Below are 18,118 nucleotides of genomic sequence, written 5' to 3' on the forward strand. Positions count from 1 at the left end.
TTTCACCATGTTGGCCAGGCTGGCCTTGAGCTTCTGACCTCAAGTGATCTGCCCGCCTTGGCCTCCCAAAGTGCTGGGATTACAGGCATAAGCCACCTCGCCTGGCCTAAAGTTAGATTTAATTCATTAATTTCACAAATATGTATTGAGTGTTAACTATGTATGAGCTATTGGACTAGGTTCTGGGAATTTGATGGTATGTAAAACAGTCCTTGCCCATATTGAGCTCATTATCTAATATGAGAGAAATACGTTAAACAAACTAATTTTTTTGTAAGAAGAATTTATTTTTTAACAGCATCTTTTTCCATCCTTTTTAAGAGATAGAAACCGTTCTTCTGTGCTCCTTACAAAGAGTTTTATCTTGGTTCCTAATAAAAGCATATATATTTCATCCACATGGCCTTAATCTTGAGAACAGGAATTTGTCTTCTTCATTTTTTTTTTTTTTTTTTGAGATGGAGTCTCGCTCTGTCGCCCAGGCTGGAGTGCAGTGGCGCCATCTCAGCTCACTGCAAGCTCTGCCTCCCAGGCTCATGCCATTCTCCTGCCTCAGCCTCCCGAGTAGCTGGGACTACAGGGGGCATGCTGCCACGCCCGGCTAATTTTTTTGTATTTTTAGTAGAGACGGGGTTTCACTGTGTTAGCCAGGATGGTCTCGATTTCCTGACCTCACGATCTACCCACTTCGGCCTCCCAAAGTGCTGGGATTACAGGCGTGAACCACCGCGCCCAGGTGTCTTCTTCATTTTTTTACCCATGAATGCATTAAGGTAATGTTTACGTACTTTAGAATCAATTAAAAAATCATCAAGTACTAAACAATCACCCAAAATAAATATCTAGTTATGAAGTATGATGGGTGTTGTGAAGAGGACCCTAAGTCACCTGGTGGTAAATGCCATAATAATGGCTAATAATAATAGTCACAGGCACTTGGCAAGTGATCACTGTGCAGCTGTCATCATGCTTCATGTAGATTATCTCATTTAATCTTCAAAGCAATTGGATGAATATTATCTCCACGTAGGGACATATGTCTGACTGCTAAACTTGTACAGCTCATGGTGGGTGGATTTTGACTTTCATCTTTTGGCATTAATGACTGTGTTAGACTGAATAATGTCCCTCCACTCTGTCCACCACCCAGTTCCACATCCTAATTCCTGGAGCCTCTGATATGTTATAATACATAGCAAATGGACTTTGAAGATGTAATTAAGTTGAGGACCTTGAGATGGGGAGATTACCCTGGATTAGTAAGGTGGGTCCAGTGTAATCACAGGGGTCCTTATAAGAGGAAGGCAGCTGAGTCAGAGAAAGAGGGAGAGGTGAGGATGGAAGGGAAGCAGAGGTTGGAGTGATGCACTTTGCAGATGGAGGAAGGGGCCATATGCTAAGAAATGCAGGAGGACTCTAGAAGCCAGAAGAGACAAGGAAATTGATTCTCCCCTAGAGCTTCCATATGAAATATAGCTCTGCCAACAGCTTGACTGTGGCCCCCAAGAACCATATCCATCTTCTGACCTCCAGAACGATAAGATGAATTTGTGATGTAAAGCCATTAAGTTTGTGGCATTTTGTTACAGTGGGAATAAGAAACTGACAAAGCAACTTTTTTGGGGACCTATCTGGCAACAGCTGGATGAAAAGCACCACATCAGAACACCAGGTTTTGTGTAGGAGGGCAAACCCCGTTTGAGAATCGTGTAAAAGATCTCCAGGCTGGGCGCTGTGGCTCATGCTTGTAATCCCAACACTTTGGGAGGCCGAGGTGGGTGGATCATTTGAGGTCAGGAGTTCGAGAACAGCCTGGCCAACATGGTTAAACCCTGTCTCTACTAAAAATACAAAAATTAGCCAGGTGTGGTGGTGCACACCTGCAATCCTAGCTATGCGGGAGGCTGAGACAGAAGAATCGCTTGCACCTGGGGGGTGGAGGTTGCGGTGAGCCAAGATCATGCCACTGCACTCCAGCCTGGGCAAAAGAGCAAGACTCTGGCAATAAAATAAAATAAAATAAAATAAAATAAAAAATCTCCAGCAAGGGGCATGAGTCTGAAAGCAAAAGGAGAATGGGAGGAGATGGGACAGAAGGTGTTGCGAGTGAAGGGACAAGTGGAACCAAACCCATCAGGCCCATGAGGCCCCCGTATGGGCCTGAGTGTGAATGAAGCCTGGAAGTTTGGGCTACAATCAGATCATGGAGCCTGACCTTCAGGCATGTCAGCCTCATTGACCAGGCACTGAAGAATCATTTGAGGGTTTTGAGGAGGACAGTAACTTAATCATGCAGTATTTTATAAAAATTATAGTATCTTCGCAAATTGAGGTGGTGAGATGACAGGGGCAAGGAAACCAGTTCTGAGGCTTTTTCTGAAGTCTGACCGATGTAATCCAAGTCTGAAGCAGGCTGGTGGCAGTGAGAAGGGAGCGGGGGAGAGTCTCCCTTCTATAAATCACACTAAGATAAAAGTTATTTATTTTTATTTTTATTTTTTTGAGACAGAGTCTTGCTCTGTTGCCTAGGCTGGAGTGCAGTGGTGCGATCTTGGCTTACTGCAACCTCTGCCTCCCAGATTCAAGCAATTCTCCTGCCTCATCCTCCTGGGTAGCTGGGATTACAGGCGCCTGCCACCAAGCCCAGCTAATTTTTGTATTTTTAGTAGAGACAGGGTTTCACCATGTTGGCCAGGCTGGTCTTGAACTCCTGATCTCCAGTGATCCGCCTGCCTCAGCCTCCCAAAGTGCTGGGATTACAGGGGTAAGCCACCATCCCTGGCTGAAAGGTTTTTTGTTGTTGCTGAGAGAGTCTCACTCTGACTCCCAGGCTGAAGTGCAGTGGTATGATCATGGCTCACTGCAGCCTCAATTTCCCAGGCTTAAGGGATCCTCCTGCCAAGGTCTACCAAAGTGCTGGGATTAGAGGTGTGAGGCATCACGCCTAGCCTAGATAGACGTTCTCGTACACAGCAGTTCTTCAAGTATGTCCCGGAGTGGTGTCCTTGAGATACTTTCAGGGAATTCTCAAGATTTAACTATTTTTTACTCTTACTCTCTCAGAGTACATAGTGGAGTTTTTCAGAGGTTACCTGACTTGTGAAATTGATAGGGACTCACTGCAAAAGGAAAATTCAGGTCTTTTCTTTCTTTCTTTTTTTCTTTTTTTTGAGATGGAGTCTCACTCTGTCGCCCAGGCTGGAGTGCTGTGGTGCCATCTCGGCTCACTGCAAGCTCCGCCTCCCGGGTTCAAGCGATTCTCCTGCCTCAGCCTTCTGAGTAGCTGGGATTACAGGCACGTGCCGCCACGCCAATTTTTGTATTTTTAGTAAAGACGGGGTTTCACCATATTGGTCAGGCTGATCTCGAACTCCTGACCTCGTGATCCACCTGCCTTGGCCTCCGAAAGTGCTCGGATTACAGGCGTGAGCCACCGCCCCTGGCTTAGGTCTTTTCTATTAAGACACACATTAAAGGGATTTGTAAAAAATGCATTTTTGGGGGGTTTTGGAAATTTTTTTTTTTGCAAAAATACTATTTATGCTAATATTTAATTATTTATTGTTGCTATTTTTAAATGGGTATATGTTTTAAACATTTCTCATTATTAATTTCTAATATGGTAAATATCTATATAACCCATATAAACAATAGCTCTTTGGGATCCTCAATAATAAGAGTATAAAAGAGTCACGAGACCAAAAAGTGTGATACCTACTGTTGGACATAAGTGCATTCACCTGCTGGATGGCGTAAGGGCTGAAGGCTTTTCCCCATGCCCCGCGAAAAGCAATCAGCCAGCCATCCTCACTCGCCCTGGAGGCCACGTAGCCGTGGCGCGTCCCAGGCTCGAGCTCCCTGGCCTGTGCTCAGAGCGCCCTCTACAGGCCAAGAGTGGATCCCACACCATTCTTGCTTGAATCTACTGCTCTGGCTGAACTTTTAGCCCAGGGGGAGTTTGAAGTTCGCGGCTGCCTGGCGCCTTGGAACAGGCGATAGGCAGCATCTACAAGCTTCATTTTCACAGGTGGGGGCTGCGGAATGGGGAAGCATCGTGCTGCAGTGACGAAACCACTAAACTGACCTGAATCTTGGTCCTGGCTCAGTCCACAACTAGGGTGGGGTCCCCTGACCTCCCTGGGTTTCAATTACTCAGGAGGAAACAACCCACAATGAACTAGCCACAAAGATCCTTCTGGCTCTAGCAGCCTATGATTCTAGGTGCTAATTGTCCCCACGTCTTACCTAGAGAAGGGGCTTAGTTCCCTGGCTACTGCCTTTCAGAGCTATCTTTGCTTTCGAGGTTTGGCTCAATAAGAATCTGACTTCAGGATGGGTCTTTGCAGTTATGGAGCTCATGGATTTTGTTCTTTAGCAAGTGCATTTTAAAACACCTTCTCAACACTTCATCGATTTATAAAGCAAATCATAAGAAGCTGGCATTGGCTCAAGCTCTGGGCCAATATATGCATTTTCTTATTTGAGCCACACCACAACCCTATTACCATTATTCCCACTTTACAGAGAGAAAAACAGAGGTCCAAGGAACTTAAGTAACTTGCCAAGATCCCAGAGCAACTGTATAGCAGAACGGGAATTCAAAACCAAGCAGTCTGGTTCCACACCCACAACACTATACCTAGCCCGGATAATAAGAGTTTGCATTTTTTAAGGTTTGCTGTGTCCCTGGAGATTTACATACATTATCTCATTCAATACAGCAATTCTACAAAGTAGGTATTATTATCTCAGGTGTTTTTTTTGTTTGTTTTTAGACGAAGCCTAGCTCTGTCGCCCAGGTTGGAGTGCAGTGGCTCGAGCTTGGCTCACTGCAACCTCTGCCTCCCGGGTTCAAACGATTTTTCTATCTCAGCCTCCTGAGTAGCTGGGACTACAGGTGCCGGTCACCACGCCCGGCTAATTTTTTGTATTTTTAGTACAGACAGGGTTTCACCATGTTGACCAGGCTGGTCTCGAACTCCTGACCTCGTGATCCAACTGCCTCAGCCTGCTAAAGTGCTGGGATTACAGGCGTGAGCCACCATGCCCAGCCTATTATCTCAGTTTTACAAGGAGGACACTTATTCTCACCCAGCTACTGAGTAGAATACTGATTTGAGATTTGACCTCTGGGACTGCAAAGCCTGTGCTGTTCATTATTATTCAGCACCATCTCTGTGCCAGGAAAAGATGAAGAACACCAACTGGGTCTTCAAGAAGCTTATATTATAATCTCCTTATGAGATAATAATGGTGACTGACATTTACTGAGAACTGTTCTAAGCCTTTACACATATGAACTCATTGAATCCTCACAATAACCCAATGAGATACAGATAATTACTATCCCAGTTTGCAAATGAAGAAATCATGGTACAAGGCAGGTGGGGTGCTAAGTAAATCACCTGAAATCCTACATTTGGTAAATGTTAGAGTTGGGATTCAAACCCAGGAAGCCTGGCTCTAATACTTGAGTTTTTAACCACTACATTATGCAAAGAGCAAATAGTTCCTGCAGAGACACAGAGGTCATTGACCAACTGAAAGAAGCTGTCTTCAACAGCTGAAAGAAGCAAGCCTGGTCTGCAGAAAGATCTCAATGTGGGAAGGAAGGTGTCGACCCCTCAGCCCCATTCCTTTTCAGTCCTGGTGTTCCAGCTGCCTATGAGACTGCTACATTTGAAAATTATTCCTTCTCAGCTGGGCATGGTGGCTCATGCCTATAATCCCAGTTCTTTAGGAGGCTGAGGTGGGTGGGTGGGTGGATTGCTTGTGCCAAGGAATTCAGGCTGGGCAACATGGCAAAACCCTGTCTGTACAAAAAATACAAAAAATTAGCCAAGTGTGGTGGCACGCACCTGTAGTCCCAGCTACTCAGAGTCTGAGGTGGAAGGATCACTTGAGCCCAGGAGGTCAAGGCTGCAGTGAGCCATGGTTGTGCCACTGCATGCTAGCCTGGACAGCAGAGCAAGATGCTCTCTCAAAAAAAGAAAAAAGAAAATTGTGCTTTTTCAAGTCTACATGCTAAAAGTGGAATTCAACACATTTCCCCCAATAGTTCTCTAAATGTCTCTTCCTTTCCAATAATGTCATTGTTCTCTCACACTAACAGGACTCAACTCTGATTGATACTTTGTTGGTGCTGAAAGATTCTGAGATGTTGTCCTGTCCAGCATCAGCAAGAAATGGTGATATGATCAATTCATTAATATTTCTGTCACTGTAATAGAAGGAAATGGCAGCCTTGCCATGAGTCTGCTATTTCTGGAGTGGGCTTTGTCCTAAGAAGTGTTAAGGAACTGGGTTCTGAGAACATGTGCTGACAGGTGCCAATATGAGTGAACAGCCAGTGAGGGCCATAGCTGAGAACATGGCTCTTCTTGCTGAGGCAGGTGCTGAGTCAAACTAGCCAGGCTAAGAGAAAATTCTGGATCAGAGGCATCAGTTTGGGGAACTAAACTAAGCTTACCAAGCTGGGGGAAGATGGCAGGGCCAAAGAGGAAAGACAGAACTCATGATTTCTTGGTCAGAAAGCCACGGCAGAAAAGCCTCAAGTCCGAGATGAGATAAGGCAAGGTCCAACCAGGTGCATTAGCTGGGATTTTTCTTGAGCTGTTGAGCTCTCTTCTCAAGAAATACAAAGCAATGGTGTCCTTTAACTGGGTAAGTTAGGGTTCTGGAATAAGCTCTCATGTGAATGAAATCATCCAGGGATAGTGAGTAGAAGAGAAGAGGTCAGTTGGGACTTAAATTTGCAAGTAGCAGTCCCATGTTGAGTGAGCCTGAACACAATGGGAAACTTGAAATGAGGATGGAGCTGTGACTGTCTTTTGGAGGCCAAGGGTGGGAATGTCATGGGCCATTAAAAGGCCGGGCAACTGAAACGTTGTGCCAGGGATTCTCACTGTCTCCTGTCTCTGCTTCTCTACACTTGTATGCATTGTTCTGTTCTCTCCCTGACAGCTTCCTTCACTTCTTAGCCTAACTTGATAGAATGAGGCTGCCTCTGGCTCCTAGCTTCTCATGCCATAGTTCCACCCAAAGAGCTTAACAAGATGTTGGGTCGTAGTTCCTAATTTTAAGGAGCAAGAATCTGACTGGCCCATCTTTGGTCAGTTGTCCACCCTGGGTCAATCTGCTAAGGCCAGGAAGGCAGTGCCAACATAACCTGTTAAAGGCTCATTCTCGTGGATATGGGAGAAGGAGAAGGATATTCCCAGGAAGAGGGATTAAGAGTTGGCCTGCAGGCCAGGAAAATACCCTAAATGTTATCTATTACAGGATCTAAAGATGGAGAACTGGAAAACACCAACATTCATTGGATGTCAGAGAGCAGAACCATAGAAAAAGACAAAGAATGTTTCTCCAGGGAATCAGGAGGAAAACTAACAGAAAAAATCATGGGTACTAAGAGAAAAAATCACGGGTACTAAGAGAAAAAATCACGGGTACTAAGAGAAAAGAGAGCTTATTTAAAGAAGAGAGGAGACATAAATGGTCAAATGCTATGGAGCAGTCAAAAAGAATGAACAGTATGAGAGACAATTTGATTACAGCAAATTAGTGCAAACTTTTTAGAAAACACATTAAGAAGAAAGTTGATGAGGAAATCAGATTTCTGTAGGTTAAAGAATGAGGTTGGTTGTATTTTTATAGGTAAATATAAAAATGTTAGTTTTAGTTGTGCTGTCAACTTTGGAAAAAGAATTCACCTATGCTATGTTAACCTGGCATTATTCAGAATTTAACATAGGCTTAGAAACAGTAAACTTTTTTCTCTGATCTTTACTGGGGTAATATGCTGTATTAAATATGTAAGATCTTATCTACACAGTTTAGATTACAGAAACTAAGACATAATCTCAAAACAATGTTAAAAAGGGGAGAAAAATAATTCAAAAGGCCAAGAAACATATGAAAATGTGCTTAACCTTACTTGTAACCACAGAAGTGTGACTAAAAACCACAAGGTAACACAACTATATGCCCATCAGATTCACCAAAATTAAAAAGTCTGAAAATTCCAAGAGTAGCAAAATATGAAACAATGGGGACAATTCTCAAAAACTGCCCATGGGGGCGCAGTGACTCACGCTTGTAATCCCAGCACTTTGGGAGGCCGAGGCGGGCAGATCACGAGGTCAGGAAATCGAGACCATCCTGGCTAACACGGTGTAACCCCGTCTCTACTAAAAAAATACAAAAAATTAGCCAGGCATAGTGGCGGGCGCCTGTAGTCCCAGCTCCTTGGGAGGCTGAGGCAGGAGAATGGCGTGAACCCAGGAGGCGGAGCTTGCAGTGAGCCGAGATCGCGCCACTGCACTCCAGCCTGGGCGACAGAGCGAGACTCCGTCTCAAAAACAAACAAACAAAAAACTGCCCGTGGGATAACAAATCAACACAGCCAAAAAGTTGCCAATTCAGGCCAGGCGTGGTGGCTTACTCCTGTAATCCTAGCACTTTGGGAGGATTGCTTGAGCCCAGGAGTTAGAGACAAGCCTTGACAAGATGACGAGACCCTATCTCTACAAAAAATTAGCTGGGCACGGTGGCGCACACATGTGGTCCCAGCTACATGTGTAGCTGGGGGCTGAGATTGGAGAATTCCCTGAGCCCAGGAATTCAAGATGGTGGTGAACTACCACCACGCCATTGCACTCCAGCCTGGGTAACAGACCCCATCCCATCCCCGCTCCCCCCAAAAAAGTTGCCAATTCACCTTACATTTGAGAGGTTTCCATTTGCATAGAACACATGGGGTCATAGCAACCCCCTTCAATTGTGCAAGGACGTGGCCTACTTGGGAAAACTGGGAGTTTTTGGGTAAGTTGGAGATTCACATAGCTTATTACATGGTAGTTTTGCTCTTATGTATATAGCTAGAGAAATTTGTATATATGTGCACAGGATGATTACTTATAATAGACCTGTTATGGATTGAAGGAGTCTGAGTGGTACCTTGATCTTGGACTCCCCAGCCTCCAGAACTGTGAGAAATAAATGTCTGTTGTTGAAGCAATCCAGTCTATGGTATTTTGTTATAGTAGCCTGAACTAAGACAAGACCCAAACTATACACAATCCTATGCCCATCAAAAATAAGATGGAAAAGCAAAACTACTGTGCATTAATAATGGGATACCAGGCTGCAAAGAACATGCAACATGGATACACCTCACAAATGTCCTGTTCAAGGAAAGAGACAAGACACATAAGAATACAACAGCATATTTCCTGTCAAATGAAGTCCAAAAGCAGGCAAAGCTCAATTCTATGTTATAGCATAACTACTGCAGAGAAAGTGAAAAATAAATGAAAAGCATTTAAAAGTCAGTATGGTGGTTACCCAGTTGGCGATGGAGCCTGAGGTAAGAGTGGGGCTCATCAAGGCTCCTTGAGTGCTGGAATGTTCTGTTTCATGGCCTAAGGAGTGGTCATATGAGCCTTTGTTTTATAACCTCTCATTAAGCTATACTTGTATTTTATGCACTCTTCTGTGATATTTTTAAATTAAAGAATAAAAAGGGGGTGAGGGCTAAAGTGGGGATTTACAAGTGAAGATGTTATATTGAGCATTATATTTTATTTTTGCTGTCTTCCAGAACCTAGCTAAAAGCGTCATGTGTGTGTGTTTGTGTGTGTATGTGTGTATTTTCTGTGGACTCATGAAACCAGGAGAGCAAGAGAGGAGAACATAAATGAGTGAGTGGCAAACCTTTCAACAGGCTCAAGGAAACAGAATCCTAAGCTGTCAATGAAAACAGCTGAGAACCAACTTTATTTTCACCACAGAATCTTGAAAAGGCTCAGGAATTTGTGGTAGCTGGAGTCTTCAGAAATAGGGTTAAGCAGCTATTAATATAGGGAGGATTTGTTGACAGCCCCCAGGTTCCTTCCCTCACCCAGGACTGCTGGATGACTTGGATGACTGTTGCTTCCTTCTCCAAACAGAGGATTGGAGGTTTATTTTCCAGAGGAAGCAAAATTCAGGGTTTCCAGATTGGGAGACACCAGGTACAGGTGAAGATGGGAGCTCCCTAACAAGCTCAGGAGAATTGTTCAAATGGAATTGCTGAGGCCCTCACCCCACACAACTCAGTTCCTAGAAAGCCGGCCACCAGGGCTTTACCGCCTACATCTGTCAATAGGAAGAATGTATTCTGGGAAATATGAACAGCCCAAGTTAAAAGGACTAAAGATACTGAAATGAGAAGGTTCCTAGCAAATGACTCAGGCACATCACTTGATAATGAAGCCAGTCACAAAGCCACACCCAGAACTTCCAATTAGCTTTGTATTTTCTTTTCTTTTTTTTTTTTTTTTGAGACGGAGTTTCATTCTGTCACCCAGGTTGGAGTGCAGTGATACGATCTCGGCTCACTGCAACCTCTGCCTCCCAGGTTCAAGTGAGTCTCCTGCCTCAGCCTCCCAAGTAGCTGGGACTGCAGGCGCATGCCACCACACCCGGCTAATTTTTTGTATTTTTAGTAGAGATGGGGTTTCACCATGTTAGCCAGGCTGGTCTTGATCTCCTGACTTCGTGATCCACCCACCTCGGCCTCCCAAAGTGCTGGGATTACAGGCATGAGCCACTGTGCCCAGCCTGGTTTTGTATTTTCTTAATCTTTCAATCTCTCTCTCTCAAAAAGTGTGTACACTCTTTCTTTCTTTAAAAATGCTTTATATGGAAGATTTCAAACATAAACAGAAGTAGAGACTGACTAGCAAAAGAACCCCTCCATGCACTCATTGCCCAGCCTCAATGAGGATCAACCTTTGGCCTACCTGCTGCTTCTACTCTCTCATCTAAAATATAGCCCTTAGGCTGGGTGCAGTGGCTCACACCTGTAATCCCAGCACTTTGGGATCCTGAGGTGGAATGATCACTTGAGGCCAGGAGTTCAAAACCAGCCTGGGCAACATAGTGAGACCCCCCATCGCTATTATAAATAAATAAATAAATACATAAATAAATATTCAGTCCTCACTCCAGGCTACTTTGAACCAAATCCCAGGCCTCATATAATTTTATCTGTAAATATTTCACTATGAATCTCTAAAAGGCAATGACTACTCATTTAAAATATAACCACAATACCAGGATCAACCTAAAAAAGGTCTTAATATCATCAAATATCTAGTGAATATTCATGTTTCCTTGATTTCTCTATAAGCATTTTTTTCCTTATAGTAGTTAACTTGAATTGGGACAAAAGAAGATTTACAACTTGTTTAGTATGCCTTCTGATTATTCTTAAATCTCTAAACTGTCACATTTATTTATTTTTATTTTTATTTATTTATTTATTTTCGAGACAGAGGCTCTTTCTGTCACCCAGGCTGGAGTGCAATGGCACATTCTCAGCTCACTGCAACTTTTGCCTCCCAGGCTCAAGTGATCCTCCTACCTCAGCCTCCTGAATAGATGGAACCGCAGGTGTGTGCTGCTATTCTTGGCTAATTTTTGTATTTTTTGTAGAGATGGGGTTTCTCCATGTTTCCCAGGCTAGTCTCAAACTCCTGAGCTCAAGCGATCCACCCACCTCAGCCTCCCGAAGTGCTAAGACTACAAGCATGAGCCACTGCGCCTGGCCTATTTGTTTTAATTTTTAAATTTTTTCATAGCAGGATTTCAGGCACCTTTACTCATAGATATTTTTGGTCAGGGAGACCTGCCTTTGAAATCGTTCCATTACTTAAAGGAGGCCAACCCCTGCCTCAGTTACGACTCTCCTACAAATGCAGTCAACCATATCATTTCCATTTGCCATGTATGAGGCTTGAAAACATCCTACATGCAGGTTTTGGCTGATCTGGTCACAACCCAGTGTGTGCGGGGGATTTGAGGGTAAATCCTGCAGCACAACCCATTGGCCTCATCAAAGAGGCTCTGTAGATGGGTAACCACAGTGGTGAACTCATTTTATTACAGAAGGATTTTACTCCTTTATGTCTCCCATGTAATTTGCAAACGGGACAAATTATTTCTTAATATTATTATAAATTTGCAATATAAACACCAAGACTGGTGATATGGGAAACTTAAAATTCATGTTTTTTGACTTTTCAAGTTTTTGTTGTATAAAGGCACTTTGTGGTGACAATCACTTGGATCGCCTTCCAGGTCATCAATATTGGCCTCTAGGCTTAGCACTCCTGACACTGCATTTTTGAGTGGCAAAAGTTAAGAGTTATTATCCCTGTCTTCTATAATCAATGATAAATTTGTTACTCTGTAAGAATTTAGATAAGAAACAGTTTAAGTAAAATAGTATTTCTGAAAAACTCAAGTCTACTACAAGTCATTTATCATATTTCTAGCCAAGCAACTGGCATGGACTTAATATGGTCTCTTTTCCTTATCTCTTTCTTTTCCAACCAGTAGCTAAATGGAAAGATGGAGTAATTGAGTTTTAAAATCCTGCCAAATTTTTTTATGGTAACTGATGTGGTTTGGCTGTGTCCCCACCCAAATCTCAACTTGAATTGTATCTCCCAGAATTCCCTTATGTTGTGGGAGGGACCCAGGGGGAGGTAACTGAATCATGGGGGCCGATCTTTCCCATGCTATTCTCGTGATAGTGAGTAAGTCTAATGAGACTTGACGGGTTTATCAGGGGTTTCTGCTTTTGCTTCTTCCTCATTTTTCTCTTGCCACCACCATGTAAGAAGTGCCTTTCGCCTCCCACGATGATTCTAAGGCCTCCCCAGCCATATGGAACTGTAAATCCAATTAAATCTCTTTTTGTTCCCAGTTTCGGGTATGTCTTTATCAGCAGTGTGAAAATGAACTAATACAGTAACCATTGTAGATGAACCATGTAGGGGCCTCCTGAAGTATCAGAATCTCTCTTTTTTTTCTTCATTTTTTGAGACAGGGTTTTGCTCTGTCACTCAGGCTGGAGTGCAGTGGCGTGACTGGCTCACTGCAACTTCTGCCTCCTGGGTTCAAGTGATTCTCCTGCCTCAGCCCCCAAAGTAGCTGGGATTACAGGCATGCACCATCATGCCCAACTAATTTTTGTATTTTTAATGGAGGTGGGGTTTCCCCATGTTGGCCAGGCTGGTCTTGAACTCCTGACCTTAAGTGATCCACCCGCCTTGGCCTCCCAAAGTGCTGGGATTACAGGTGTGAGCCACCGTACCCAACCATGAAGTACTAGAATCTCATGCAAAACTCTAACAAATGCCTCATTACAGTAAGCTATTCTGTTATTTTGTGTACTGTAAAAGTTGTAACACAAGAAAGTGTCAATGGTTGCTTTTCATTGATTTTAGCATATGATCTCAGGGACTTAGACATAAGTCTAAGTTCTATTCTGAGTTTTGGCAACAGCAATGACAGATATTTCTGAATAAACAATTTTTAGGTGTTTTTAGCCATTTGAAAAATATTGCCAACACACTATTTGGGGTTACCGCAACAGTCACTTTGTGCTGAGAATTAAAGAACCCTAAACTTTATAAATATCGTACTTCACCAAGACTAACTATAATCGAAAGATTTACTGTTCTTCTAATAAAAAAATTACACAGCAACTTTTACCAAACAGCAACTACTACAAAATAAATGGCAAGAAAAAAATAGGACTTCACAAAAATACACTAAAAAATTTGACAATTTTATGCAGAAACTGCCAAAGCTTTAGTGTTTATTTATTTATGTTTTTTCTTTTTTCTTTTTTGAGATGGAGTCTTGCTCTGTTGCCCAGGTTGGAGTGCAGTGGCATGATCTTGGCTCACTGCAGCCTCTGTCTCTTGGGTTCAAGTGATTCTCTGCCTCAGCCTCCCGAGTAGCTGGGATTACAGACGTGCACAACCACATCTGGCTAATTTTTGTATTTTTACTAGAGATGGGGTTTCACCATTTTGGCCAGGATGGTCTCGAACTCCTGACCTCAAGTGATCCACCAGCCTTGGCCCTCCAAAGTGCTGGGATTACAGGCATGAACCACTGCGCCTGGCCAGTTTTAGTGTTTAATAATTAATAGCACAACTGCCCAAGGTGGACGGGGGTCAGGGGCACCAAATCCTCATGCATTCAAAAATCTACATATAACTTTTCTTTTTTCTTTTTTTTTCTGAGATGGAGTTTTGCTCTTGTTGCCCAAGCTGAAGTGCAATGGCATGATCTTGGCTCACTGCAACCTCCATCTCCTGGTTTCAAGCGATTCTCCTGCCTCAGCCTCCCGAGTGGCTGGGATTACAGATGCGTGCCACCACGCCCAGCTAATTTTTTGCATTTTTAGTAGAGACAGGGTTTCACCATGTTGGCCAGGCTGGTCTTGATCTCCTTACCTCAGGTGATCTGCCCACTTCAGCCTCCCAAAGTGCTGGGATTACAGGCATGAGCCACCATGCCCAGCCAACTTTTTTTTTTTTGAGATGGAGTCTTACTCTGTCACCTAGGTAGGAGTGCAACGGCACAATCTTGGCTCACAACAACCTCTGCCTCCCAAGTTCAAGTAATTCTTCTGCCTCAGCCTCCCCAGTAGCTGGAATTATAGGCATGCACCACCACACCCGGCTAATTTTTGTATTTTTTTTTAAGTAGAGACAGGGTTTCATTACCCAGGCTGGTCTCGAACTCCTGATCTCAAGTGATTCACCCACCTTGGTCTCCCAAAATGCTGGGATTATCGGTGTGAGCCACCATGCCCTGCCTACATATAACTTTTGAAGCCCCCAAAACTTAACTACTCATGGCCTACTGTTGACAGGAAGCCTTACTGATAATATAAACTGTCAATAAACATGTATGTTGTATGTTATATATATTATGTACTATATTCTTACAAAAAAGTAGCCTGGGGAAAATAAAATGTCATTAAGAAAATCATAAGGAAGAGAAAATATATTTACTGCTCAGTAAGTTTAAGTGTATCATCATAAAGGTCTTCATCCTTGTTGTCTTCACCTTGAGTAGACTGAGGAGGAAGAAAAGAAGGGAATTGTCTTGCTGTCTTGGGGATGGCAGAGGGAAACGAAAATTTGCATATAAGTGAACCCCTGCAGTTCAAATGCCTGTTGTTCAAGAGTTCACTGTATTTCCATTATGGGGCATGTAAGTTACCTTTGTCTTGCTTTTGTGATGTTAGTAATACAGGAGTATGGGAGATTATCAATGATTAATAAACAAACAATTATAATACATTAATAATAAATTAATAAATTAATAAATAATGGCCAGGCGTGGTGGCTCATGCCTGTAATCCCAGTGCTTTGAGAGGCTGAGGTGGGTGGATCACAAGGTCAGGAGTTCAAGACCAGCTGGCTAATATGGTGAAACCCCATCTCTACTAATAATACAAAAAACAAAATTAGCTGGGTGTGGTGGTGGGTGCCTGTAGTCCCAGCTACTCGGGAGGCTGAGGCAAGAGGATCATTTGAACCTGGGAGGCAGAGGTTGCAGTCAGCCGAGATCGTGCCACTGCACTCCAGCCTGGATGACAGAGTGAGACTCTGTCTCAAAAAAAAAAAAAAGAAATTAATAAATAATTTCTCAGTGGAATTTTCCTTTCATAAAAAACAACCCCAAACCATTTCTTCTCTAACAGAAAGCAGCCTGAAAGATATGCAAACTAGGAGCTTTTATTTATTTATTTTATTTTTAAAATTTTTTAAAATTTTTTGAGATGGAGTCTTATTCTGTAGCCAGGCTGGAGTGCAGTGGTGAGATCTTGGCTCACTGCAACCTCCGCCTTCTGGGTTCAAGTGATTCTCCTGCCTCAGCCTCCCAAGTAGCTGGGACTACAGGTGCACAACACTGCGCCCAGCTAATTACGCCCAGCTAATTTTTTTTTTTGAGATGGAGTCTCGCTCTGTTGCCAAGGCGAGTGCAGTGGCACGATCTTGGCTCATTACAACCTCTGCCTCCCGGGTTCAAGTGATTCTCCTGCCTCAGCCTCCTGAGTAGCTGGCATTACAGGTGCCTGCTGCCATGCCTGGCTAATTTTTGTATTTTAGTAGAGACAGGATTTCGCCATGTTGGCCACACTGGTCTTGAACTCCTGACCTCAGGAGATCCTCCTGCCTTGTCCTCCCGTAGTGCTGGGGATTACAGGCATGAGCCACTGCACCAGTCCAGGAGCTTTTTTTTTTTTTTTTTTTGATATAGTTTCTCTCTTGTTGCCCAGGCTGGAGTGCAATGGCGGGATCTCGGCTCACTGCAACCTCAGCTTCATGGGTTCAAGAGATTCTCCTACCTCAGCCTCCCAAGTAGCTGGGATTACAGGCATGCACCACCACACCCAGCTAATTTTGTATTTTTAGTAGAGAAGGTGTTTTACCATGTTGGTCAGGCTAGTCTTCAATTCCAGAACTGAGGTGATCCACCTGCCTCGGCTTCCCAAAGTGCTTGGATTATAGGTGTGAGCTACTGTGCCCGGCCTGGCCAGGAGCTTTTATAAGTAAATGCTGGCAGCTGCACTTGGGAGCCAGGTTACATTCAATATGGCAGTTCCTGCTCTCTTTTCCTTGTCACCATGTGTTCCTGTGTCATGGCAGCCTCTAGGTAAAACCATGTGTGCAGGTATCATGGCAGCCAGGTAGAAGCTGCATTTGCATAATTAAATGTTACAGGAAGGCAGGGACCCTGAACGGAGGGACTGGCTGGAGCTGCGGCAGAGGAAGATAACTTGTGAAGATTTCATGGACATTTATCAGTTCCCAAATAATACTTTTATAATTTCTTATGCCTGTCTTTACTTTAATCTCTTAATCCTGTTATCTTCATAAGCTGAGGATGTACGTCACCTCAGGACCACTGTGATAATTATGTCAACGTACGAATTGATTGTAAAACGTGTGTTTGAACAATATGAAATCAGTGCACCTTGAAAAAGAACAGAATAACAGCAATTTTTAGGGAACAAGGGAAGACAACCGTAAGGTCTGACTGCCTGTGGGGTTGGGCAAAAAGAGCCATATTTTTCTTCTTGCATAGAGTCTATAAACAGGCGTGCAAGTAGGAGAGATATTGCTAAATTATTTTCCTAGCAAGGAATATTAATACCCTGGGAAAGGAATGCATTCCTGGGGGGAGGTCTATAAATGGCCGCTCTGGGAATGTCTGTCTTATGCAGTTGAGATAAGGATTCAGATAGGCCCTGGTCTCCTGCAGTACCCTCAGGCTTGCTAGGGTGAGGAAAAACTGCCCCAGTAAATTTGTGGTCAGACCGGTTCTCTGCTCTCGAACACTGTTTTCTGTTATTTAAGATGTTTATAAAGACAATACATGTACCGCTGAACATAGACCCTTATCAGTAGTTCTGCTTTTGCCCTTTGCCTTGTGATCTTTGTTGGACCCTTATCAGTAGTTCTGCTTTGCCCTTTGTCCTGTTCCCTCAGAAGCATGTGATCTTTGTTAGACCCTTACTAGTAGTTCTGCTTTTTGCCTTTTGAAGCATGTGATCTTTGTACCTACTCCCTGCTCTTACATCCCCTCCCCTTTTGAAACTTTTAATAAAAACTTGCTGGTCTGAGACTCAGGCGGGCATCACAGTTCTACTGATAGGTGATGTCACCCCTGGCAGCCCAGCTGTAAAATTCCTCTCTTTGTACTGTCTCTCTTTATTTCTCAGCCGGCTGACACTTATGGAAAATAGAAAGAACCTACGTTGAAATATTGGGGGTGGGTTCCCCCAATAATAAAAGACCAGGGTCTGAGGGCCAGTCTTCTCCTGGGCTGTGTAAATGTCACTCCTGGTCAAGCCAATCCCCTGGACCCTATGTACATCAGTCACTGCCTCCTCAAGCCTCTGTATACAACTGATTGCATTCTGCCACAACCCAGACGCCCTCTCTTGGGCAACCTGCTTTCTCAGCATGAGGAAGGCTTTGCTCTTTCTCTTCTTTTTTCTCTATTAAATTTTCCTTTCCTAAACCCATTCCTTGTGTGTGTTTGTGTCCTGAGTTCTTTCGGTGTGAGACAAAGAACCAGGGTATATACCCCAGACAATGGAGCCATTTCATTCGTTGCCACTGATAATCATTGAATAGATTTATTAATTCATTAGGCATTGTGAAATAATAGTATTCCAAGTGTAATGAAAATATTTTCATTGATCTTCCTTTACTAGCTGAATCAGTTAAGCAGTCTTTATGTTGCTGCCTCTTTA

At 43.5% G+C, this 18,118-nt stretch overlaps 1 annotated feature.

Moving 5' to 3' along the window:
• Positions 3,539-4,042: an enhancer, noted in NCBI's record as "OCT4-NANOG hESC enhancer chr1:67965969-67966472 (GRCh37/hg19 assembly coordinates)". NCBI's record gives its function as "activates a minimal SCP1, AML or CMV promoter by ChIP-STARR-seq in primed H9 embryonic stem cells {active_cell/tissue: H9 hESC(primed)}" and the evidence as "EXISTENCE:reporter gene assay evidence [ECO:0000049][PMID:30033119]".

This window comes from Homo sapiens, chromosome 1 (assembly GCF_000001405.40).
Source record: "Homo sapiens chromosome 1, GRCh38.p14 Primary Assembly".
NCBI lineage: Eukaryota > Metazoa > Chordata > Mammalia > Primates > Hominidae > Homo > Homo sapiens.